The sequence below is a fragment of the Homo sapiens genome, chromosome 11 (genome assembly GCF_000001405.40).
Source record: "Homo sapiens chromosome 11, GRCh38.p14 Primary Assembly".
NCBI lineage: Eukaryota > Metazoa > Chordata > Mammalia > Primates > Hominidae > Homo > Homo sapiens.
This window is the reverse complement of record NC_000011.10, coordinates 35,223,325-35,248,835: the sequence shown is the minus strand read 5'-3', so window position 1 is coordinate 35,248,835 and position 25,511 is coordinate 35,223,325. Positions and strand designations below refer to the sequence as shown.

The window sequence follows — 25,511 nt, the reverse complement described above, 5'->3', positions numbered from 1 at the left end:
TCACACACTGCTAATAATCCCCTAGTGATCCATGCACTGCTAGTAATCCCCTGGTGATCCATGCACCGCTAGTAATCCCCTGGTGATCCATGCACTGCTAGTAATCCCCTGGTGATCCATGCACCACTAGTAATCCCCAGGTGATCCATGCACTGCTAGTAATCCTCTAGTGATCCATGCACTGCTGGACCCCTAGTGATCCATGCACCACTAGTAATCCCCAGGTGATCCATGCACTGCTAGTAATCCTCTAGTGATCCATGCACTGCTGGACCCCTAGTGATCCATGCACCACTAGTAATCCCCTAGTGATCCATGCACTAGTAGTAATTCCCTAGTGATCCATGCATTGCTAGTAATCTCCTAGTGATCCATACATCGCTGGCTGTGTTATGGGTCCATCTTGCCAACATGGATACTGAGACAAGCAAAATGAGACCATTTTTAGGAAGGGAGTGTAAGATGAAGGGCCGAGGCCTTCTTTCCTCAGGCTCAAATGATGAGGCCTTTGAGCACAGATCTAATGGGAGCAAAACAGGGCCCACTTCATCTTTGATCTCTTCTTTGACCGATAATGTGTGAGGCCCAGCAGGCTCTACCTGACATCAGCGGGCTGTTTGCTTTGATGTGAATTGCCAATTAACAGAGGAAGTTACAGAAAGTCACAAAAAAGTCTTTCCACCTACCACAAGAACTGCCAGGAGCCCCTTGAGCCACATCCCCAACGAAGTTCTGGCTGTGAGAACCCTATAGGCTGAGTGCTTTATCAACTACAGAAATCAATGCCTTGCAGTTGAGGAAGGCTTGCAGTGTGAGATCAGTGTGGCAGCATGGTGTTTTCTGGGGAGGGCCCCCCTTCTGGGTTTCTCCTTATATCCTCACATGGCAGAAAGAGGGCAGGGGAACTATCTGAGGTCATTTTTATAAGGGCTCTCATCCCATTCGTGAGGAATCTATCCTCATGATCTAATCACTTCCCAAAGGCCCCACCTCTTAATACTATCACCTTGAGGGTTTGGATTTCAACTTATAAATTTTGGGGTAAAAACAAACATTCAGTCCATTGCAGTGCCCTGCCCTGTGATGGAGGATTGTAGAACCACAAAGGGCAATACCTGCAAAGAGCGTGAACTGTGTGGCCTGCCACCTAAGGCACTGGCCCTAGTGTGGGCACCTCCTTCCAGGCACAATGTCATAAACAGGATGCCAGTGTTCTGTACGTCAAAGAACCACAGGTGACAGCGGGTTCAGGCACCTCCAGGAGAGCTTTCATGAGAAGCTTTCCTCACTTGTCACCTTTCAGCCCAGACAGGAAGGTGTGAGTAGAGATGCCCACACATCTGACTTGGGTTGAGCAAGGAGAGAAGACTGTGGAGTCCCTGGCAACAACACAAATGTTTTTAGCTCAATAATTCTTTGTCCTGGTAGTTTTTAAAGTTCAATTAATTCATTCTTCCACTGAGGCAGTGAAAGGCCATATTTAATTCCCATATTGTCCTAAGAAAAACTGAGCCACAGAGTCAGGCTCAAATTCCAGAGTGTAGACTGGGTCCACACAGCTTGTCCAAAAAAATATAAAAAGAATAAAGCCATCCAATGCAAATACTGTTTTTACTCTCAAACGTTTAAAAGCAGAGACGTTAAACTCTGAAGAATTCCATAAAGCAGATAAATAAAATATTATTTCATGGTTCTCCCTTTCCTTTTTACAAGCTGAATGAATATGTAAAACCTCCACATCTTTTTATGTCTGTTATTTGGGGTAATCAGATTTTAGCCTTCCAAATATTGTCTGGAAAAATCTAGTGGCTTCCAGTTAAGGAAAAAAAGACAAATTTAGAATTGCAGTCATCTGTTCCTCACTCCTTTTGTTGAGTGACCTGACTCCCCTGGAATTCTCCAACAGCTTCTGTCACTTCTCAGATGTTTTCCAGGCCTGAATAACACACTGCTCACAAACGGAGGAGCCACAGAATTTCCCAACTGCCTTCCTTTGAGTGAACAGTTCCGTTGGAACACCATCTTCCTTCTCCACCTGATCCCAAACTTCCCTTTCATCTTGGTGATGAGGACAGAGATCATTCCAGATTGTAAAGCCAGATTGTTAGCCCGTGCTTTTTTGCAGATAAGGAAGAAGATACCCTAGTTTAAATGAACTAGAGGTAACTCAGTTACAAACCAAGCTTAAGTCCTGGCTCCATCCCTTTCCTAGCTATGGATGATTGGATTGTTAACTTAGCCTCAATTGCTTCATCAGTAGAATGGGGCTAATCATGCCTATGAGATAGAGATTTTCATATGAGAACATTCATAAAGTAGTTAGTCCAGTGCTTGGCACATAATGAGGGCTCAGTCAGTGATAGTTACCACCATCATCCTCATCATCATCCTCATTATCACTATTTTCATCCTTAGCGTTACCAATCACCACTTCTTTGTGACCAAGCTGGAAGAAGTCATGCCTCCTCTCTCCCAGTTTGGCCTTTACCCCAACCATATCACATGGACACCAGCATGTAATCCATAGTTCAGCTGCCCTCCCCCAAATCTGAGCTTTGTTAGTAGACCATGAGCTTTCCTGACCTAGCCTGGGATAACCCCACCTTTAGTCTAGAGGAGCTTCATGGTCATTACGAGTTTGCATTATCTGATGTTCCAAATGTCTTCAGTTACTTGCCAAGTCTCTGAGGCTTAGCAGTGAGAGAAGGCACTGCATTTCTTCAGGGAAACGAAGTGAGTTTCAGCCTGGCCCAAGTGACCTCTCACTGAGATGGGAGCCTGAGCTGGCCCTTCCAATGGGAAACAGGACATCCAGAAATGAAGCAATTCTTTTCCTCACTGGAGGAGTCCCTCAGGGAGTCCCCAGCTCACAGCCTTGGATGGGCTAGTTGAGACAAATGTCATGAGAAAGGCCATTTCTGTGGAATGTACCCACCCAGCATGACTCTCCAGAATGCCCTTAGCTGATCAATTCCCAGCAGCTCTCCTTCCCATCATCCCTTTATTCTTTGCCTTGTGTTCTTTCACAAATGTTCTTGCTCTTCCAAGAGCAGATCTCAGGAGGAACTTCTGTGAGCTTTTAGGTTGACGGAGCTTCCCTGTGGCTATGCTAGAATCACCTCAAAATGGTGCCCTCTATAGTTTTCAGCAGCTCAGGGCATCACCACAACCTTAAGAGTCTGCTATTTACTATTAATAGTAAATCATTAATTAATAATAATATTAGTAATAATACAATTATTAATTGTCTTAAGTGGGGATCCCAGTGACAAAATTCAAATTCACAAGATTTTCTTGAGGGAGTATTTCTCAGGAGGGCCTGTAAGGGCACGAGGGGAGCAGGACAGGGAAGGGAAAGAGCTGAGCAGGAAGATAGTCTCAGGAAAAGTCTAACTTTGAGTTGTCTCCTTGAGGAAACGAGGTTTATCTTTGCGCACTCATATCAGTCAGTCATTGGCTATGGGCTACTTACGGGAAGGAGGCATAACCTCCAGGGTGAGGCAGCTCCCATCTGCAGAAAGCCGTTTGCTGGAGCCAGCTGCAAGTTTTTAGCTGTCAACACAGCAGTTAGGCTATGAGTGCACCAATCCAGGAAGGGGGTCTGGGCAGAGCACCAACAGCATCTCCTAAATATCCCATTCCCCACATGCCTGCTATGTGGCAGACTCTTATGTAGGTTCTTTAGTCTTCAAAACAACTCTGTGAAGTAGTTGCTATCACTCTCCCCATTTTGAAGATAAGGAAATTGAGATTCAGAGAAGGAAATATGCACACCTAAGAAGAAGCTGACCTGAAAGTCTTTCTAGTTTCAATGCTTCCTACTATATTCCCTCTGTTTTCTCAAATAACCCAGAGACTATACTGTCACATTATCTGTTTCTTATGGTGGTTGAACCTCTGTGCTGGGGGCAACTTCCCTTGATATCTAATTTTGAAGTCCTAATTATGCTTGGGGCTTTAGGGCATTCAAAGAAGATTGATCATGCTTATTATCCCATAGGGTCCTGCATTATCTACTTGCCTACCTCCTGGAATCATGAAACCCATGTACGGTAAAGAGGAGATCTCAAAAAATAACTGGAGCCGATAGATGTACCCATACTGGTTGGCCCCAGTCAGTTAGAACATATTCTCTTCCCTAAAGAATTTGCTAAGTCAATAGGCCAAGGAGTGTCATATTGAGACTGAGCTTTGATCAACTAGGAGTGAGGAAGATTCTTAGACACTATCTGGGCAGATTAGGAAAGAATCCAGATTGATTATAAATGATTGCAAAGGAAGAAGGAAGGGGGAGTGACTAATATTTGTCTTATATCTGCCATCCTTGCAGGTATCAGTCAGGATGGGCTGAGTTGTCCTGCAGTAACAAACAATATCAAAATCTCAATGGTCTCAACAAGATAAGTTTATTATTGACTTTCATCACAGTCTCACTGTAGGTCAATAGAAGGTCCTGCTCTCTGTAGTTACTCAGGGACCCTAGATGACAATCAACTACTGTTTTTAAACAGGCTTTTGTTGACGTGCCAATGGAGAAAAAGAGCTCTAGGAAAGTCCTTACCTGAGCAGTTAAATGTCACCTCAGCTTACAACCCACTAGCCTGGTCAAATCTAGCCACATAATCCCACCCAGCTTCAAGGGATAATGAAATGCAATTCCACCACATTCTCAAAATGGGGATTGGGAATGTTGGGGGGCTGGAGAGTAGAGAGAGAGATCCAGAAACATTTGGTGAACAGCACAAATATGATACCACAGTCTACTTCTCTGGTCACCTAGTATTCGGTAACTCTGTTTCCCACACGCAAAATTCTTCAAAGAGACCACATAAAGGTTTCATCCAGTCATGACATCAAGGTCAAAGTCCAAGAACTTGGCAAGATGCATGGAAGTTTTCACACATGGTTCAGATGTGGCTTCCATTGACTCAAAAATTTGTGAACAGAAAATACATGTTTTCTGTAGCTCCATTCCCTCCTTTTCCCTGGCACACAAACTCCAATGGTGGAATAGGAACAGTTCAGTTACCATAAATACTCCTGTCTGGAAAGGTGACCCCTGGAAGACTTACGAGTCACTGAGCCATAGCATTTCAGAAATCCTGATGGGCAGACATTACAGAGCCCTTACACTATAATAAGGAATTCTTTTGTTTGTTTGTTTGTTTGAGACCAAGTCTCACTGTCAACCAGGCTGGAGTGCAATCTCGGATCACTACAACTTCCACCTCCTGGGTTCAAGTGAGTCTCATGCCTCAGCCTTGAGAGTAGTTGAGACTACAGGTGTGCACCACCACACCCAGCTAATTTTTTGTATTTTTAGTAGAGACAGGGTTTTGTCTGTCTGGTTTGTCTCAAATTCCTGGCCTCAAGTGATCCCTTCACCTGCTTTGGCCTCCCAAAGTGCTGGGATTACAAGAGTGAGCCACTGAACCTAGCCAATAAGGAAAATGCTTTTATTAGATTCTGGTCTGGCCCCCTGGGGCAGCTTCCCCAGTCCATCTCCCTGTCTTCCCCCATGGCCCTTAATATTACCTTCTAGGAAGTCCTTCTTTTTACATTATACTTTGTTGACGCATCTAAAGAGAACACTAGGAAATAATCTCCTCTTCAGCAACATCCTCTGCTTTATGCTCTCAGAAAGTTAAGGTTCATTTTCGGTCTTGAACAGTTACAGAGTTTTCTAATTAAACTCCATAGTTTTTTTGGCATCACAACTCTTAACATCTCTGCTGGCCTTTATCTTTTTGACTCTAATTAGCCATATATGCCAACCACCATAACCACAGCCCTTTTAAAAACATGTTCCTTTTTCTTAATTGTGGGTACCTTGAGTCAATCAGGCTTAAGGCAGAGAGGCGCATTCTTAGATTTATTTTTCCCTTAGCCATTTTTTTAAATGAAAGAATATCCTGGATGCCACATTAGTTAATGCAGAGGCTTTAACAATGGATGTAATGACCAAGCACTTGAGTTGATTTTGCCTCTGAGGTTGAGTTGGGTTTTATTGCATAAAGCATCTCTCTCATTTCATCTTGTATTGTTGCGAATTAAGAAGCAATTGTCTCTTCTAGCTCCACAACTGTTTATATTTCTTAAGTTGCTCTTTCCTTCTGGCAGGTAATAGAGACATTTTTAGATCACAGTTGTGCCATTAGTCAGGGTCTCTGAGTGACTATGATGAAAGAAATTGTCTGTGGCCTGTGAGGAGCATATAGCAAGAATGAGCAATAAACTTTTATTATTTTAGGCCACTGAGAGTTTGCAGTTGTTTGTACTGCAAACAACTGCCTGGTAACATTAAGCAAATCTATCTCTTGCTCTGGTATTTCAGCTTAGATGTGTCTTCTCTGGTGTAACCTCAGTTGGGAACAAAATAAAACACTCCTTATATGCTAGTAACAAATTGTGCCTATGAAAATGATGTTTAACTGTCCTGAAGAGAGAAGACTTTGATCATTAAAGAAGACTTTCCAAACACAGGATGAAGGAGATGACAGAATAGGTAAAGTCAATCTCTGAAGATATAATGTTATGATAGTTTCCCTAAGAGTGAGGCTAGAGAGTTTCAGAATGACAAAACATTATTTCTTTTTTGCACCTATTTCAAATTAAAAGTGAGGTTTTTAAATAGCTATGTTATTGGAAATTAAACAATGGACTGGTAGATTAGAAATGACCAAAAACTAATGTTACATGTTTATTTCCACCCCCATGGGATGGATCTCCAGTTATCCCCTGAAGAGATGAATCTCTAGCTATCCCCTGAAGAGATGGAAATCTCCATTGTCCAGCTGGGTTCTTGCAATGGGGAAATGCCTAGTGGAGGATGCTCTTGTTCAACAGTTATTGAACATGTATTAGGTGCCAGGCATTGGTCTATGTGTATTTTTATATATATTTACATAACTTTATATATATTTCTACAAGTGAAGAAACTGAGGTCTAAATATATCAAGTACAATGCCCTCAGGCATGATGTCCAGTAAGTAAGCAAGGATCAGGGCAGAAAGGCTGGCCTGCCTCTATTTTTCTTAGATATGTAGAGGTTAGGAGGCAGATTAGTTTTGCCAGGATGCAGCCACCACAGCTGCCATTCAGCAGCTATGCCACTCAGCAGCTATGCCACTGGACCACAGCCATTGTGTCACTACCTCTGTGAATCTCTCTTCATCTCTCACTTGTCTGTGTGTGATTTGCTCAAGATTCAAAGTCCTGGACAGGAGAATCCTTTGTGATCCTCATCCCCGTCTCTGACCACTTGGTGCCTCCAAGGCATAAGCATCTCCAAGTTTCTGCTGGAGCAACTGGCTCTCTACTCAGAGGCTCTCACTCTGCTCACACTTAGGTGACATCTTCCTACACCTGCTAGATCATGAATTCCTCTGCCATTTACTGTTTTCCAAAATCTCTTGATATCTTTTTCTGCTAAGGTCCCTTCTTCCAATCTCTTTGTGAGTCTACATTATTTTGATGCATTTGTGATCATTTGAGTAAGTGTTAGGAAGGAGAATACATAATGAGTATATTCAATCTGTTGACTTTAACTGGAATTCTGTGATGGAATATTCATTCTCAAATGGAAGCAACACTTCACGCTGCTTCCCAGCAAGCAGCTCCAGGTCAATGTTTAACTGCCTCCAGTACCCCCCTCTCATTAGAAGAAACTCATATACACCCTGGCTAGGTCCACATTGGCACCTTGGTGCCATTCTACTAGCTATTTAGCAGCTGGCTTGAGGAATATATTCTCAGCTCTAGTTCTAGGCTATGACTTAGATAGGAAGTAAGCAGACATTTTATCTCCATTCAAATACCCTGGAAGAGCCCCTGGAATACAACAAGTGAGTTAATTCCTCTTTTTTTTTTTTTTTTGATCACGTACGAGGTCTGTTACTATTATTATTTGTGCATTTGTTCAACATACATGACTGACCATCCATGTGCCAGGTGATCTTCTAGATGCAAAGGACATTACAAGGAATGTGAAAATTACAGCCTCAGCTACTGATTTTTTAAAGCCTTGCATAATGATAGTAATGGTGAAATAGGAGGAAAGGGACCAGGTTTTCTTACCCCTGAATCACACAAGCTGGTGTGTGTATGTGCATGCCTTCGCAAGAGATATTCCTCTCCTTTTTTTTTTTTTTTTTGAGACAGTCTTGCTCTGTTGCCCAGGCTGGAGTTAAGTGGCGCTATCTCGCTCACTGCAAGCTCCGCATTCCAGCTTCAAGCAATTCTCGTGCCTCAGCCTCCCAAGTCGCTGGAAATACAGATGTGCACCACCATGCCTAGCTAGTTTTTGTATATTTAGTGGAGATGGTGTTTTGCCATGTTTGCCAGGCTGGTCTCGAACTCCTCGCCTCAAGTAATCCACCTGCCTCGGCCTCCCAGAGTGTTGGGATTATAGGTGTGAGCCGCCGTGTCCATCCCTTCTTTTAATTCTTGTCCCTCATCTTTCTTCCTTTAACCCCATCTATCTCTGGCGTCCCCACAACCTTCCCTTTCTCCTTATAATCACAACCCCTTCCCACAGAAATACAGATAGCCTCCAACTTAATGATGGTTTGACTTAAATTTTTTTGACTTTATGATGGGCTTATGCCAGTATTAAATGCATTCTTGACTTCTTATGATGTGTTATAGGAATATGGCCCCATTGTAAGTCCAAGAGCCTCTGTAACCAGCTCATGCCTGTCTCAGCTTTTTCGGTCCCCTCAGCTTTCCTAGCCTTCCACGTTGGATGCCAACTGCTTTTGTCCTCCTTCAAGTGATAGTTGCTCCACTGGGAGAAGGGATAACTTGAGTCCACAAGGGTGAGAGCTTGTCTCTGGGAGCTTGGCGGTGGGGAGGCGGGGGTGGAGAGGGGAGTGGTGGGCAGCATCAAAAAGATACTACCACACTGGGTTTCCCCTGGGTTACCTAAAATCAAGCACATCTCACCACCTCCAGGATTAATTTCTTTCAGAAACTCTCTGTTCTAACCTGTATGACATAAACCATTTTCTCCTACTCATTTTGACACTCTTACTAGCAGAATTAAATACCCTGGACTTATTATGCTAAAAGAGCATTCTCCCACCTTGCCTCTGAGATAGTTTATCAGACACCTCATTGTTATTTGACAATAAAGAATATCTTGTCCAAGTCGTACTTCCCTAAACCCTGGAGGCAGAGGGGAAGTCTCAGTTCATTCAGTCACAATGATAAGACTTAAAATGTAATCCCTTTGTGTGGTTCATCAACGAGATTAGATGATATTTTTTGGAACAGAAAACATTTCTAGCATAAAATTTCTGGGAATAAAGAATTTTCTAGAAAATGGATGTCTTATTGTCTACCTTTCTACAGAAATGAAGTAGACAATTACTTTTGTATTTTTAATGTTGAATTCTTTTTAAGGAACAATAAAAGGCAGAAAATAAGCCAGTCTCTTGTTTGAGTAGTCCTAGATTCTTTTAGGAAATTTCTTTAGCCAAGAGCTTCTTTGTAAATGAAAACTGAGAACCAAAGTTTGGCATATTATTAAACTTTTCCTCAAACATCAAATGAACAAGTAATCTGTGCCACACTTAGAATCAACTAATAGACATAAAGTGATTTACAGTCCCCAATAATTTTGACACTTGTTTAATAGCTCACTAATTTTGATGCCAGCCTTCTTTAAGAACTGAAATGAAAACTATTCCTGTTAAAAGAGTCAGTATGTTCAGGCAGAAGCAGTGTGGCATAGGAGTTAAGAGAGCATGTTCTAGGTCTGGGCTGTTTACATTGGCAGACTGCTCTGCCAGTTACTAGCAGAGTGACTATGCTTCCTCTGCCTTAGTTTCCCCATCTGTAGATGCAACATAATATGGTACTTCATCTCACAAGGTTGTGCAGAGTATCATTTCCGTTTTCTTATTTTAGCATGTCTGTACCAGGCACTGTTTTAAGATCTTTCAGGTATTATCTTGTTTAGTTCTGATAACTCTGTAAGCTATGTTCTACGATTACCTGTTAAACCACAGAGAGGTTAAATAACTTAATTTAGTTAACACATGCAACATGCTTAAGACAGTGCCCAAGTAGATAGCAAATGCTCAATTTCAGCCATTATAGATCAATATTCTATCTATCCCTCTGTCATAGCAGGTTCTTGGCTACAATTATCTGTGTCCTTCAGACAAGGATCTGTAGCGCAGCAATGGCGCAATGCCTGGCATATAGTAGATATTCAGTAAATGACGTTTAAATTGCAACTAATGAATGTTTCCTTCTTTTCATGATCTATAAATCCTTTTCAAAACACAAAATGTAGTTTAAAAAGAAAACGTGGACCATCAGTTATTCCCCAACCGTTTGTCCCAACTCAGGCAACCCAGTTCCATTCCCATTCCCACTCCCCACTAAGCCTTGAGTGCAAGGATGCCCACCTTCACCCTCTTCTTTCTGGTTTTACCTTGAGGATTCGAGAACGGAAGTCAGGCGGAAGGACTCAGTTTCTACGAAGACAAAGGGCATGTTGTAAAGCATCCACTAGGGGGCGCATTATCAACAGGGCAGAGAAGGCCAACAAGATGGTTGAAAACGAAGTTTCTGCAAAGGACGTGAACCTTGATGGGAAAATTTTCATTACTCTCATCCTTGGCTTGACAGATGAACACATTGCACTTTTCTCAGTCAGCTTTTACACAAAGGTCTAAATTTTGTCCAAGGGGGAAGTGATCTAAAACAGGGAGTCGGAGGTCCCTTGCCTATTGAGAGAGGTCCCAGCTTGCCACTGCCCTGAGGGAGAGTACAGCGCAGCCAATGACTCTGCTGCCCAGACCAGACTTTGTAGTTCTGAGTTGCTGTGCCTCCAAGCCCAGTGAAAGGGATTGAGAGAGTGGAAGAGAAGTAAAGTGTGGCCAAGACAACTTGCCCTGGAAGTGCAGCCAGCAAAACCCATTGAGGTTTGGAAGAGAGATGCTGTCCTTATTGAGACGCTTTTGAGTTTACTTTATACTTATTATGATTTAAATATCTGCTATATGCATAGACAGTCCTTATTAAATAGCTACTAACTTTCTTTCAGAACAATTGTTTGAAATCTTACTCTTCTTTGCATCCCTCTGACAGTTTACCCCTCTGACAGCTTTTCTTCACATTTCTCTCTTCATTTCTTAATGAGATTTAAAGAATCCTAGAAGAGGCGAAAATAAAAAGTAAATCTCTCACTGAACTCTAGTAACCCAAGCTGAAATTTGAAGCCCTTAGCCTTTATTATTGAAAACCTGTCTCTCCACTTCTGCATGGGTGAGTTCCCAAGGTCAAGGATCTTCAGAATCTCCAGAGCTAGGCCCTTGAAATTTCAATCTCATTTCTTCTCTCTCCCTATCTAGGGGTCACCTTGAAGGTTGGCTCTGGCAGAGCCTTTGTGTTATAGATGTTGGCAATAATAAACCTGCATATTCCACCCTTCCCCAGAAAACAGGAGTGGGAATCTCTTCTTCTTTTTGATACTATTTGGAAATCTTAGGGTGGGAGAGGGTAGGCTTTTCAGACCCCAGTGCTTAAAAGGGTTTGGGAGAGGTTCAGAAATTTTTGGAACACCTCTGACTTCTCCCAAATCATGGTTCATATTCTTTCTAGACCCCTACTGTGTATTCACACAAAAGTGATTAAGATAGCAGAAATGAGGGAAGGAAACCTATATGCGTCTACTATATTCCATCATTTTACAGATATTATCTCATTTAACCCCCCAGCATTCTTTCCGGTAGAGATTATTATTCCTGCTTTACCGATGAGGAAACCGAGGCACAGAACTGTTCAATAATTCGTGTAAGGTTATACATAAGTAAATGGCAGAGGTTGAATTTGAACTGAGAGTCTTGTTTTAAATATCACCTTTTAAAAGCTAAACCTTAGCCTCCTCTTCTGAGGTTTATTATTCCTCTTTCGGGAGAGAGGAAGGAGGAAGTGGTTTAGACAAGACTTCTGGAAAACAGTAGTCACCACGTAATGAGATCAGCAGTCTGGAAGCCTAATGGGGCAGGATTGAGGAGCCGGGTTATGGGCGGCCCTGACAGGCAAACTACTGGTGTTCAAGACCAGGTGTCAACACAGGCAAGAAATGGGGCTTGAGGCCAGGATGCCCAGCCAGACTTTCTTCTCCACTGAGCCTTTGCCCCGGGCATCACAGCAAAAATCACATTTACACATGACTGATTCTTCCCTTTCCAATAAGCACAGCATCTATGAAGTTGTTTATGGTTTCCTAAATTAATTCCATTGCCAATGTGGTCTAAATGGTGAGTGTACTCATCCCCAAATCTTTTCAGTGGTTTCTGAAAGCCTCCTTTGGCTCCACCAGGCACAGGGAGCTCTGGAATACTGACCTGGTTTGCAACATTTGGAGATGATGTCTTAACTTCAGCAAATTCAGTTTACCAAACTTCTGACAATAGACAATTCAGGCATGTTAAGCCAGAGACTTTGGAGAGAGCTGAGCTCTATCCCTGGTTCTACCACTTTCTACTTACCTGGTTTGGGGGACCATAATGAATTTCTCCGTACCCTCACACCTCATCATATAGTAGAACAGACAGGTTCATGGGCGGATTAATGAAATTGCAAAGTAAGAACTACAATGACATATGGACAAGGTAAGAGTTATACCCACAGAGGGGAAAATGAGCTCATCCTGGATAGGGGTGGGGCAAGACAACTTCCTGGAGGTGACGATCAAAGCCTTGGGTGGATGCCCAACTTTGGTTAACCTACAGCCACAACCTAGATGGCCAAGATTTAATCAACGAATGCCAGTTATTAGCTTCCTGGACTCCCTGCTTGTTAGCCTTGCTTTGAAAGCAAAAACCTTTCAACTAAAATTGAAGGGCTTTCTTCATGGGGAGCTTCAGATTCTGAAATAATCTGTCTCCAGCCACTGTAAGTTAATAGCAATTCACACTTAAAAGTTGGTTAGAGTTCAGAACATTGGAGGAAATGGTGAAGGAAGAAGTTAAGTACCTACTGTGCATATGTGGGTGATGGCAGGTAGGAATTAATATTTTTGAGGACCTAATATACCCCAGCACTGACACGTACTTGTTAAATTTAATCCTCATAGCCACCCTATGAAGGTTTTACTGTCTCTTTACTGACTCAAAATATTTAAGATGTGTGAACAGAGTTTCACAGTTAAGTAAGTGGTAGAATCAGTATTAAAACCCAAAATTTGTCTGATCCCAAAGCTCATGCTGTTTCTACCATACCAAGCAATCTCCCAAACACATTTACACATGACTTTGCTCCTTCCTTTTCCAATAAGCATGGGGTTTATAAAGTTGTTCATGGTTTTCTAAGTTAATGCCATTGCCAATATGGCTCAAATGGTGAGTGTATTTTAAGCATAAACATGAGAGGTGCCCTTGAGCACAAGAATCTTTCAACATGTCTATCGTAGATCTTGATCACACTAATGGCCCTGATAATTGGCTTTTTTGTAACCATATTTTTTGCAGTGTGACTTTGCAGCTTCTCCCATTAGGAGATAGAATCTATTTCCCTTCTTTTAAAATCTGGGCTGCTCTCGTAACTTGATTGGTCAATAGAATATGGTGGAATGACAGAGCACCAGTTCTGAGCCTAGGCCTCAAGAGGACCTGTGAGCATGTGCTCTTACTTGGAACCCTGTCAGGCCTGGACCAGCCAGCTGGAGGCATGTAAGAGTCAGATGGAAAAAGACCCCAATCATCCCAGATGAAGCTGTCCGAAATCAGACAGCTTCTAGCTGACCTGTTTGTTAATCACACACACAAATGCATGAGTCCCGTCATGCTCAAGTGAGCCCTGCCAAGATCAGCAGAAGTACTCAGTTAACTGGTGGATGCATAAGAAATAAATACATGCTTGTTATTTTAAGCGACTAATTTTGGAACAGTTTTTAATGCATCAGTAGTTAATGAATACAACAAAAAATAATTTTCTTTTTAATTAGAGGTCAATAAAAGCAAAACATTGATTGTTTTAATTATTAGTCAGTACTCCAACTTTAAGTGTTCTCTAGACCTGCTGTACAGCTGTCATCTTGGGATCTCCCTTTATCATCATTTTAAGAACTCCCTCTACTTTGTTTTCTGAAACTCATGTCCTCTCCTCTCTTGGTAACTCCCTTGTTTTGATGGAGTACATCCTTTGGGAGTTGCCTGTGAATGGGTGAGCAGGTTTGGAGACTATGATTACCTAAAATCTCTTTATTCCATCCTTATACTTAATTTGCAGCTTAACTAAGTTAGAATTCTAGCTTGGAAATAATTCTTTCAGTATTTTGAGGCCCTGTTTCATGGTCTTCTATCTTCCAATGTGGCCATTGAGAAATCTGATTCTATTCTGATTGTTGATCCTCCATGTATGTATTTTTCCTTTCTAGATGTTCATAGGATCATTTCTTTGCCCCAGGTGTCATGAATTTTTAAGATAATATGCATTAGTGTGGGTCTGTTTTTATTCATTTTACTAAGTACTCACCTTGTCCTTAGTCAAGATATTCATGTTTTAAAGTTCTGGGAAGTTTTCTTGATTTTTTTCTTGGATGAGTTCTTCCTATTTGTTTTCTCTTCCTGTGACTTTGATTACAGCATTTGCATGTTAAATTTCCTGGACTGGGTGCCAGTCTTCCCAATGTATTCCCCCCTGTTTCCATTTATTTGCTTTTGCTGTATTTCTGAGGGTATTTCTTTAACTTTATCTTGCAAACCTTCTGTGAGGTTTATTTTTAAATTTGTGCTCTCAAGTTTACATTTTTAAAGCTTCTTTTTTAGGTGTTCTCTATATGTTCCTTTTTATCCTGGCATTGTGTTTTTGTTTTATAGATATACCATCTCCTCTTATCTTACTGAGAGTATTGGTGACCTTTATTAGAAAAAGTTTCCTTCTCTAAGCAGTTTCTTTTCTGTCAAGGTACTTTTTCCTGTTTTTTGTAGTCCCTGACTTTAATATTAGATGCTTTCTCCAAATGTCTGGTGCTCCTTGGTAACAGCTCATGTGTGAGAGTAAGCTACAGAAAGCTGACTGAGCTTTCTGGGTGCCTGGTGGGGCTTGAGATGCCATCTTCATTGCAGATCGCTTTTTTTGGGCCATTTCCTTGGGGAACTACCATGTTAATATTTTTAGAATTTTCTCTCAGGCTCATAAGATTCCCCAGCAACACTGAGCTTCTGCCTGGAGAACATATGCCTAGCTCCCAGCATTCTGAGAGCCAAGCTGGGAGAGGAGGATAGGGAATCTCAACACTCTTTAAGCATGGTTTCACTTTTTCAGTATGGCCTTTCTTTTCTTTTTTTGTTTCTTTTCTTTTCTTGTTTCTTTTCTTTTCTTATCTTTCTTTTCTTTTTCAGGGTCTCACTCTTCACCCAGGCTGCTGCGCAGTGGAGCAATCTCAACTCACTGCAGCTTTGACCTCCCAGGCTCAAACATGATCCTCCCAACTCAGCCTCCCGAGTAGCTGGGACCACAGGTACACACCACCATACCTGGCTAATTTTTATATTTTTTATAGAGACAAGGGTTTGCCATGTTGCCCAGGCTATTCTCTAAGCTCCTGAGCTCAAGCAATCCGCCCTCCTCAACCTCCCAAAGTGCTAGGATTACAGGCATGCATCACCATGCCCGGCTCTCAGTGTGGTATTTCTAATGTCAACTGTGTACGTGCTGTTGGACTTCAACCAGAGACTCTCTATTTCCCTGTCTCCAGAAAATAAACTTCTGGTCTTTTGCTGAGATTGGGAAAGGACGGTGTTCAGTTACACAGAGTAAGGAAGGGGACCTGGAGTTCTAACTGCTTCTTACATAGACTTTAAGCTTGTCCCCCTAATCTTAGCCTCATCTTCCCATTCATTTCCAGAATAGCTATTGAGCCTTTTGATGGTTCTGTCACATAAGTCTGGTTGTTTCTCAATTTTCCACACTGCAGGCTTAGGAGTCAGCTTTTCCAGACTTGTTCATTCAGTTACCAATCAGCTATCACTTTTCAGCTTCAAGTTTTTGTTGCTCTTGTCTCTTCTTCCAATCTCTTTAACTCCACTGGTTGATTCCGTCTGGAAATATCTCTTTATTTTCTTTTTAGAGGCTTACATGAGGGAATGAAGGTATGTACACTCTCCTCTCTTTAACTGGAAGTCCAGGAGTAGTTCTTGGCTTTAAAAGAACTAACACTTCACTGTATCTCACTTAGTTTGAAACATGTGAACCACACATCACTCATAGAAAACCAGATTTTCTCCAAAAGAAGACTTTCAAGTTGATGGAAACCCATTTTGTTTTTGCTTTTTTAAAAAATAAAATGAGTGTGAGGCTTCAGCCACCTCAGATACCTTTGACTTTGTTCCTCTAAATTACCCAGACGGTGCCAGATAAGCATAGTTCTGTCCCTCTCAGCCTCCCATTCTTTTAAATTAGAGACTTCTGAGTCTGTTTCCTTTAGTCTTTTAATGTTAGCCTTTTAATATTTTCCAATAAGTGCTTTCAACTCAGCAATATACATATCATGCTTTCCTCATTATTATTGATCCATCAATAAATATACAAAAACCAGAGGAAGGGTGTGCTCTGAAAAGTCAAAGTAACAATAACAGTGGTCATTGTACAGCACAAGAATGAACAATGGGCTATTCTTTGAAAACTCAAAACAAATGATTTACACAAAGACATATCTATAACATAAAGGTGAATGGACCATGTTATTCTTATTCTTAAGTACATTTTGCTTTTCCAGATAAGTCAAATGTTTCCTCTCTCCTACTCCTCTGATATAACAGTATTGAATGAATGTTGGCTACAAAATCAATTCTTGGTGTTGTTATGAATCTCAATATAAAACTTTTGGAAAGGTTCTGCTAGAAAAGCCAATTCTACCAGGCTTGAAATATGGATTCGAAGATGTCTTTTGTCTCTTTTGATTTTTCACTCAGAGCTAATTTTAAGGGAAGTCTTCAGGAGACACAAAAGATTTACAATTGCAAGAAAAATTACATCTTTAGCTCTTAGGTTGCTTTGCAAAATAATTAAATGTTGGCCTTTTACTTTTATAAAGACCCAGTTTAAATGACTTAGCCCAGGTCACCTGAAAATCATTGGTAAAAATGACGTGTAGTCAAGCTGTGCTTCCAGAGTTACGCCCTTGAGATCAAGGGAGTGAGAATACATCTTATTCCATAAACTTCAGGCAATGTTGCAAGGGTTTGTGAAGACTTGGCCAGCTCTCCGTTGACAATGGCCAAGGAATAGAAGCTCTAGACCTCCCTTATTTCTATCGTGAAAACAGAGGTATATCCAAGTGAGGGACTACAACAGTAATAAAGGGAAAAAAGTATTTAATTCCAAAATAAAATTGAAAATAACCTCCTGTCTCAGCCTCTTTTTGGGAATATCTAGAAGGAGTGGAAAACCATCTCTGGCTATGAGACTTGTATCACTACCCCTTTCTCCCTGGGGCGACAGGTAGAGGCTGTTGTAACCATTTTGAACCTTGTCCTGGAGTGGCTTGTTGCTTTTCAGTTAAAGAGCTTGAGTGAGCCTGTCTGGGCCTCTGGCAGACCCAGGAAATCTCTGGGAAAACAAGAGGCACTTGAACACTAGTGGCAGTAACAACACATAGTGGCCTAATGTCCAGTTTCTTTCAAGTTGAAAAGAAAATAAAAAGAAATCCAGACCACTGAAAATGGATCTGGCCAATGATGTTCACAGAAGAGAAAGGAAGTTTTTCAAGATTGTGGGGTGAAGTGGAGGGAGAGAGGGAGGGGAGAGGGTAGACAGGGAGGAGCAGAGGCTGGGAATAGTGCAGAAAGTTGACATCTCTCCTTTAAAGATATTCTACAGATCAACTCTGTCTAAGCCCAGCCCTGATTTAGTCAGGAGCTTTTCTTCTTCTTTCTGCTTTGTGGTCTGAGAAGCATTGCCTGTTAAGCACATAAGTTTAGGTAACAAATGACTTTTAGTAGGAGCCTCAGAAAGGAGATACCATTTAACAGGAGCCGTTGCTTTATAGATGCAATGGCTTCTATGACAAGCAGCCTTTGGAAGTTCTAGGACCAATCGGACACCCTGACTGATGAATAAATGCCACAAAGGACTTGCCAAGTGGGAGAAAATATGAGGTTAGAGGATAAAGCCAGTACTCTCTTGTTTGGTCATAAACTTGCCTATCTGGTGATAAGATTCCAATGATGGGAATCCCTTTAACCTTTTGAGGGACTCCCCAGGCACTTAACTCATCCTAAATAGCAACTGCATCAAGAACAGACACTGGTGTGTTTAAGTTTACAAATACAGCCATAAAAATGTCAAACAGGATCTACATGGCATCATCCTTCCCCTTTGCCAATCTCTTTCATTTCCATTGGCTTCTTCTCTTATTGTAAGACATCAAAAGGCACTTCCATATTGTTTTTGGAAATCACTAATAGGGCCAGCCTCTATGAAATAGGGCCCCAGGGATAACAGGTCATGCAAACTTAATGTGACTTTGCAAAGCCTTTCACAGGAGAGAACAGGTGGCCATTAAACCATAAAAGAGGCTGAAGCTCCTCAGCTTCCAACTCTGATTCCAGGACAGGATGGAAAACCTTTGGACAGTGTCAAAAAAAAAAAACAAAAAACAAAAAACAAAAACAGTGCTGCCCTCCTTGGTCTTCCATGAGATTTGGCTGAGTGGGTCTGAGTGGGAACTCAGGGTCTCTGAGATGAAGACTTAGAAGAGTCTCCTTACCATTCTCAGCTCTTCCTGATACATTGTAGGGACCCAGACAGTGCTGGTTTAGAAACTGAAGAATCACAGCACAAAAGGTGAAGATCGAAGAAGTACAGATATTTATTATGAATCAGTTTAAACCCTTTTGTGCCTCTGACAAAGTAACTTTAAAAAATTATACTGATCAAAGGACTGATCCAGGGTTTAATATTTCAAAAACACAGATAAATAGTTTACTACAGATAAATAGCTTCACCCTTTGGGTGTCTCCCAGAAGCATCTGAAAAATTTCTAGAGGGGGTCTGTTGAAGATGTGTAACTAGTACACCCCAACCCCCAACCTCAGTGGAAAGCAATGCCCAGGGATTAGGCTATGGAAGGGCAAAATGGACCCATTCAAATTTCCTCCCAGGGACCAGGCCCTATTAACCCTGGGAAATGTCCTTAGCTGGTGGGGGAAAGGTTGGCGATCAGGAATACATATGTGTAGTTTTTGTTAGAAGCCATCCATAGCACACCCGAGGGATGAAAGGCCTCCAAGTGGGAACTGGAACGATCAAATTCTTGCTGATTATTAATTGGGCCCTAATTTCAGAAAGCAATGCTGTTTTTACAAATTGGACCTGACTTTAAAGAACAAAACACAAAAAACAAAAAGAGTAGAAAATTTTATGCTAAAAAAGATTCGCAATGAAACAATCAGTAGCACATTGCATCTGTTAAGTGTCCCAGCTCCCTGTAATGGTTATGTTTCCAACGGTTGTTTCTTTCCAAGATAATGGTGTAGGTGTTACACCCCAATCTTCATGTCCACATTCTGCAGGTTCCTTGTCTCATCAGCTGTCATAAACTGGTCTGGAGTTTCTGACGACTCCTTGTTCACCAAATGCACCATTTCCTGAGACTTGCTGGCCTCTCCGTTGAGTCCACTTGGCTTTCTGTCCTCCACAGCTCCATTGCCACTGTTGATCACTAGCTTTTTCTTCTGCCCACACCTAATAATTTAAAAAATGTACCATATCAGAAAGATTGCAGTGACTCAGGCATCAGATCATCATCCTTACTGAGCACCATCATTGATGATCACTATGGTTTATGATGGCTTTAGTGTGTGCCAAGCACTGTGCTAGGGGTTTTCTCTACTTTAACAACTAACAACCAGCACTTAACAACCAGACTCATAACAACCAGCACTCCTCAAAGTGAGGTCCCTGGACCAGCAGCAAAAGCATCATCTTGGAACCTGTTAGAAATACAAATTCTCAGCCCCACCCCAAACCTGCTGAATCAGAAAACTCTAGAGTTGGAGCCCAGGATCTGTGGCTTCTCTGCACAGTCAAATTTGCAACCCCTCAGGGGCTTCTCTGCACAGTCAAGTTTGCAAACCAGCAACTAAGACTCCAGGAAGCCGGTGTTATTATTATATTCTCTATATTCCAAGTGAAGAAACCTTGGGGATCAGAAAATTCAGTAACTTCCCCCAAGTAACTCAGCAAGTAAGAAAGAGGATTCAAACCCTGGTCTGTCTGACTCTCAAGTTCTGATTCTCTTTCTATCTTACTTCACAATGGAAATGTTTGCCTCTTTTAAGCATTTTAGCAGTTTCTGCAGATTTAGATAAACCATCAACATGATGATTGTAAATCATTCTGATTTGTATATTCCAGAAAGTCCCATAACTTCCTCTCCCAGTCAACACTTTGTCGGCCTTGTCAGCATTATTACTGAATGTATCGAGAAGAATAAAACAACATTTTTCTAGAGGTATAAGGCCATAGTGATGTTTTCCTAACATTGGCTAACTCATACAACCCTGATATAGGAAGTTTAATAACATAAGACAAATTATTCTCGTTAATTTAAGGTTTCTCAAACATTACTTAAGACCCAAACGCAAAAGAAAGTTGCTATGGAAGAGTACGACCTTGATCTTTTCCCTGGTTACTGTCCATTGCTTCACCCCACCCAGCCTAATGCAATGCTTCCTCTTTCCTGTAACATATCACTACTACACATATACGAGTCAGACTATGCTTAGAGGAAGGAAAGTTGCATAGCTTCACAACTACAAGCAAGATGGGGATTCAGGGAAGCAGATTACCTCCTGAATACCAGACATTTTACATGTAATTTTCTGTAATTCTTACAACACTCTTTCAAAGCAGCTATTGTTCCCATAATACAGCAATGGAAACTGAGGCCAAAAGAGGTTTAATAACTTGCTCGAGGTCACACAGAAAGTAAGAATGACAGAGCCAATATTCAAATCCAGGCCTTTATGACCAAAGCCTGGGCTCTGCCTGGCTCTGTCAATGCTGCCAGCCCTCTGGAGATTTGGAAACAGTATGAAGTCAGAATTGTTCACTTTGCCTCTGGATATTTGGAGTAATAGTGACAAAGCCTCTATTATTCATGATCATGGACCATTCCCTGTAGGACTGCCAAGGCCATAAACTTTAAGCTCTTGTTTGGGGAAATAAAAATTATACCTCCTCAACAGGAGGTAGATCCTGTCTCCTCTAGCATAAGGCTTGATGAGGGGTTGGGGGAAGGATGCTTGAACTGTGAAACAGATTCATGGGGACCAGGAATACAGATGGAGTCCAGCAGGATGCATGGTCAAGAAAAGGGCCTTGGAGGCCAGGTGCAGTGGTTCACTCCTGTAATCCCAGCACTTTGGGAGGCCAAGGCGGGTGGATCACTTGAGCCCAGGAGATTGTGACCAGCCTGGGCAACATGGTAAAACCCAGTCTGTATTCAAAATACAAAGATAAGCCGGCTGTGGTGGCATGTGCCTGTAGTCTTAGTTACTTTGGGGGCTGAGGTGGGAGAATTACTTGAGCCCAGGAAGTCGAGGCTGCAGTGAGCTGTGTTTGTGCCACTGCATTCCAGCCTGGGTGACAGAGTGAGACCCTGTTTCAAAAAAGAAAAAGAGACCAGGCACAATGGCTCATGCCTGTAATCCCAACACTTGGGAGGCTGAGGCAGAAGGATCACTTGAGGTCAGGAGTTCGAGACCAGCTGGCCAACATGGTGAAACCCCATCTCTACCAAAAATACAAAAATTAGCCGGTCATGGGGGCATGGTGGTGCGTGGCTGAATCCCAACTACTCAGGAGACTGAAGCAGGAGAATTGCTTGAACCTGGGAGGTGGAGGTTGCAGTAAGCTGAGATTGCATCACCGCACTCCAGCCTGGGTGACACAGTAAGACTCCGTCTCAAAAAAAAAAAAAAAAAAAAAAGGAAAAAAGAAAGAAGAAAAGGGGCTCGGAAGGCCTGGTTTTGAGAACTTACTGCTATGTGACCTGGGGCAACTCACTTAACCTCTCTGAGCCTCAGTTTTGCATCAATAATACCAGGTTACTAAGAGTAGCAATATCATAGGATTGTGAAAAGCCCTTGAAACAGAGACTGTCACTAAATAAATGAGTCTATTGTTATTATTCTTGCTCTTATGAGGGGTAAGGAAATAATTGTTATTCTTGCTCTTATGCGGGGTAAGGAAACTAAGGTTTGGGTTAACACTTAGAACAGTATCTGGAGCACAGTAAGCTTTCAAGTGCTATCTATAATTGTTAATATAACAAAAGCCATATGAAATGAATTTTGCTTGTTTCTCCTGGCTGCCTCCACCTACCTCGTTATTATTTACTATGAAGAGGATTTAAAAGGCTCAAGGTAGAATACTGCTTGTGTTACTTCCAATTCCCTGGCCCCTGTGTTCTTTGGAGGAAAGTTGTCTAGTTAAAGTAATTCCCATTTCCCTAACCAATGGGTGGTTGAGGGATGGAATGAAATATTGTGGGAAAGTGATTTATGAGCATAAAAAATATGTCTGTGCATGGGAGTGGGTGGGGATTAATGTTGTTAATCTAAACGAAGCTGATCTTGACAGTGGATAACATTTGACCTATAGGACACAGGAATATTGTGCTTGGTTTTTGGTTGGCCTGCATTTCCCTTTGGATTTATGTGTTTCTATCTGTCTGAGTAGTTTCAGGAGGGTAGGATGATTCTCATAAATAACTCATTCCAATATTCAGTGCTCTAGGCGTCTAATAAGTGCTTTTAAGAGACAAATTCTAATTTTTAAGTTATTCCTAGTTATAAGAATTTAAGAAGGAGCACTAGACCTTAAGGGGCTTCAGAGATCATCTAGCCCAGCTTCTTCATTATGTAAACTGGACACCAAGTCCAAGAAGTATTGTCCAAAGTTTCACAGCTTGTTATGGCACTGCACTGCAAGAATCACAGCTTGGATTTTCTGTTTTTGTTTGTTTGTTTGTTTGTTTGTTTTGTTTTGTTTTTTACAAAGTCTCACTTCATCAACCAGGCTGGGGTGCAATGGCACTATCTCGGCTCACTGCAACCTCTGCCTCCTGGGTTCAAGAAATTCTCCTGCCTCAGCCACCCAAGTAGCTGGGATTACAGGCACCCGCCACCACACCTGGCTAATTTTTGTGTTTTTAGTAGAGGTAGGGTTTCTCCATGTTGGCCACGCTGGTCTCAAACTCCTGACCTCAAATGATCTGCCTGCCTCAGCCTCCCAAAGTGCTGGGATTACAGGTGTGAGCCCCCGCGCCCAGCCACAGCTTGGATCTTCTGACTCTGAAGATCAGAGATCCTCATGGATCTGTGTCTTACCTTTATCTCCTCTTCCCTTAAATCTCAGGCATTAGCTGAGCACACAGCAATCACACAGTGTGGAAGGAGGCAGACTGAGACCTCACCAGGAAAGAGAGGGCAGGCTGGCTGGGGTTTAGAAGCCAGGTAACATACTTTTATGGCATGGCAGAATTTATCTTAAAAGATTTAGGTGGGTAACTTGGCAACTGATCTCATGACTCTTCTACCTGACAATCCTTAACGATATTTAGGGATTTATTTTGCACTGTTTTAGAGCTGTGCCATCCAATATGGTAGCCACCAGCCACATTTGGCTATTTGAATTTAAACTAATTACAATGAAATGAAATTAAAAATTCACTTCCTCAGTTGAACTAGCCATAGTTCAAGTGCTCAGTTGTGGCTAGTAGTTATATATTGGACAGTGGAGGTATAGAATATTTCCATCATCACAGAAAGTTCTATTGCATAGCACTGTTCTAGACAGCAGGACGAGGTTGGGTGAGCTCAGATTGCAGGAGCTAGACTGTAGCATAAGAGAAGGAAAATATTTCTAAATTATGGCGATGCGTAGAGAAGACCTACTGATTGGAGTGTGGGTGACTGCCTGCTGGGGTTTATAGAAAAGACGATTATTCCCATTAAAGTGAAGGCTGATGAACAGCTTTTATGTACAAGCAACATAGTAAAGTTCTCATGTTTTTTTCTCCTCTTTAGACAAATAAGATAGGTTTTTGTTTGTTTGTTTGTTTGCTTGTTTGTTTGAGACAGGGTCTCACTCTGTTGCCCAGGCTGTAGTGGCACTATCATGGCTCACTGCTGCCTCCACCTCCCGGGGCTCAAGCGATTCTTCTACCTCAACCTCCCGAGCAGCTGAGACCACAGGCATGCGCCACTATGCCCGGCTAATTTTTGTGTTTTTTGTAGAGATGGGGTTTCGCCATGTTGCCCAGGCTGGTCTTGAACTCCTAGGCTCAACTAATCCACTGCCTCGGCCTCCCAAAGTGAGCCACTGCACATGGAGTGAGCCACTGCACCTGGCCCAGATAGATTCTTTAAAGGAAAATCTTCTCTGGAGCCTCACGCAGTATCTATCAACCCAACTGACTCCTAAAATAATTATGTGCTCTCATGAAAAGGGAATAAAATATGATTTCTCTTGGAGAGCTGTAACTCAAGGAGTCAGGTGACATGAGGAACAGCAAAGAAAGCTGTTTTGGATGATGGCAGGGGTGGAAAAACCTAAAGAAGTAATAGAACCCCCAACCCAGCATCTTTAAGACAACGTGACTCACAGATCACTTCATCATGCAAGCCCATGACCCATCCTTGTATGTCAACTTCAGAGACTAATGATTTTCCACTTTTGTCTTTTAACCATAATTTATATAACAGTGTCTGGCACAGGGAATGTTCTCAATAAATATTAGCCAATTCAAATTCAAGAGGCCAATACTGCCACTAAACCTCAAGATTCTTTTAGAAAAGGGGTGGTACTCTTTTTGTTTTTTACCTTCTCTTTCTCCTTGCCAGGGCTGGTAGTCACAGGAGCCACTCAAAAGATGTTTGCTGAATAAATGAACACCTATTGGAGGCCCCATTTTCAACCAAACTTTCTCTGATGAAAATAGGATTCTGTATCTCTTTCTCTTAAATGTGACACTCAAAGCAGAAAAGCCTCAGCCTTTGAAGGGGATTAGAAATGGGTTGACAGCTTTAGAATCACAGAGCCCATTAAGGGGCCCGTACAGCTGTTCACCACCTTTTAGCTGCGTGGCAAATCTGTTTTCAATTATCAAATCAGGACATAGTAATTTATGGCATCCAAGCAGCTACTTTCCTGGTGAGATACTCGCTGTGCCGGACCCTGTGTGTCCCTGTTTGCCGGTTGCCAGGGTGACTGCTGGTCTTGGGAGGAGGGAGAGGGCAGCAATGAGGCCCCTTCTCTGCTGTCTGCTGCTGACAAGACACAGACGATGGGGGAGATACCCAGCCCCAATGTATGGACTCCAGCTGCTCTTAGGGACAGCTGAGATGCTTCTCCGAGGTCTCCCTAAATGTCGACAGCATCCATGCCAGCGTTTCTATGGTGACATGTGCAAAGCTTATGGACTGTGTATGTGAGCAAAAGTGGTGCATTCTAGGGCTTGGCAATAAAGGGCTGATTGCACA

The 25,511-nt window shown here is 42.1% G+C and overlaps 1 protein-coding gene across 38 annotated transcripts in view, besides 2 other annotated features; it reads right to left on the bottom strand.

Moving 5' to 3' along the window:
- Positions 10,655-10,724: an enhancer, noted in NCBI's record as "active region_4621". NCBI's record gives its function as "activates an Ori minimal core promoter by ATAC-STARR-seq in GM12878 lymphoblastoid cells {active_cell/tissue: GM12878}" and the evidence as "EXISTENCE:reporter gene assay evidence [ECO:0000049][PMID:35858748]".
- Positions 10,735-10,804: an enhancer, noted in NCBI's record as "active region_4620". NCBI's record gives its function as "activates an Ori minimal core promoter by ATAC-STARR-seq in GM12878 lymphoblastoid cells {active_cell/tissue: GM12878}" and the evidence as "EXISTENCE:reporter gene assay evidence [ECO:0000049][PMID:35858748]".
- Positions 16,434-25,511, bottom strand: part of CD44 (CD44 molecule (IN blood group)) — a 93,232-nt gene continuing 84,154 nt past the window's right edge. For all 38 annotated transcript variants that reach the window (NM_001440324.1, XM_011520482.3, XM_005253232.4 and 35 more), the window contains one exon: positions 16,434-19,707. In NM_001440324.1, the coding sequence (NP_001427253.1) occupies positions 19,503-19,707 (205 nt within the window). In that variant the 3' untranslated portion in view covers positions 16,434-19,502. The remainder of the gene's footprint in view (positions 19,708-25,511) is intronic.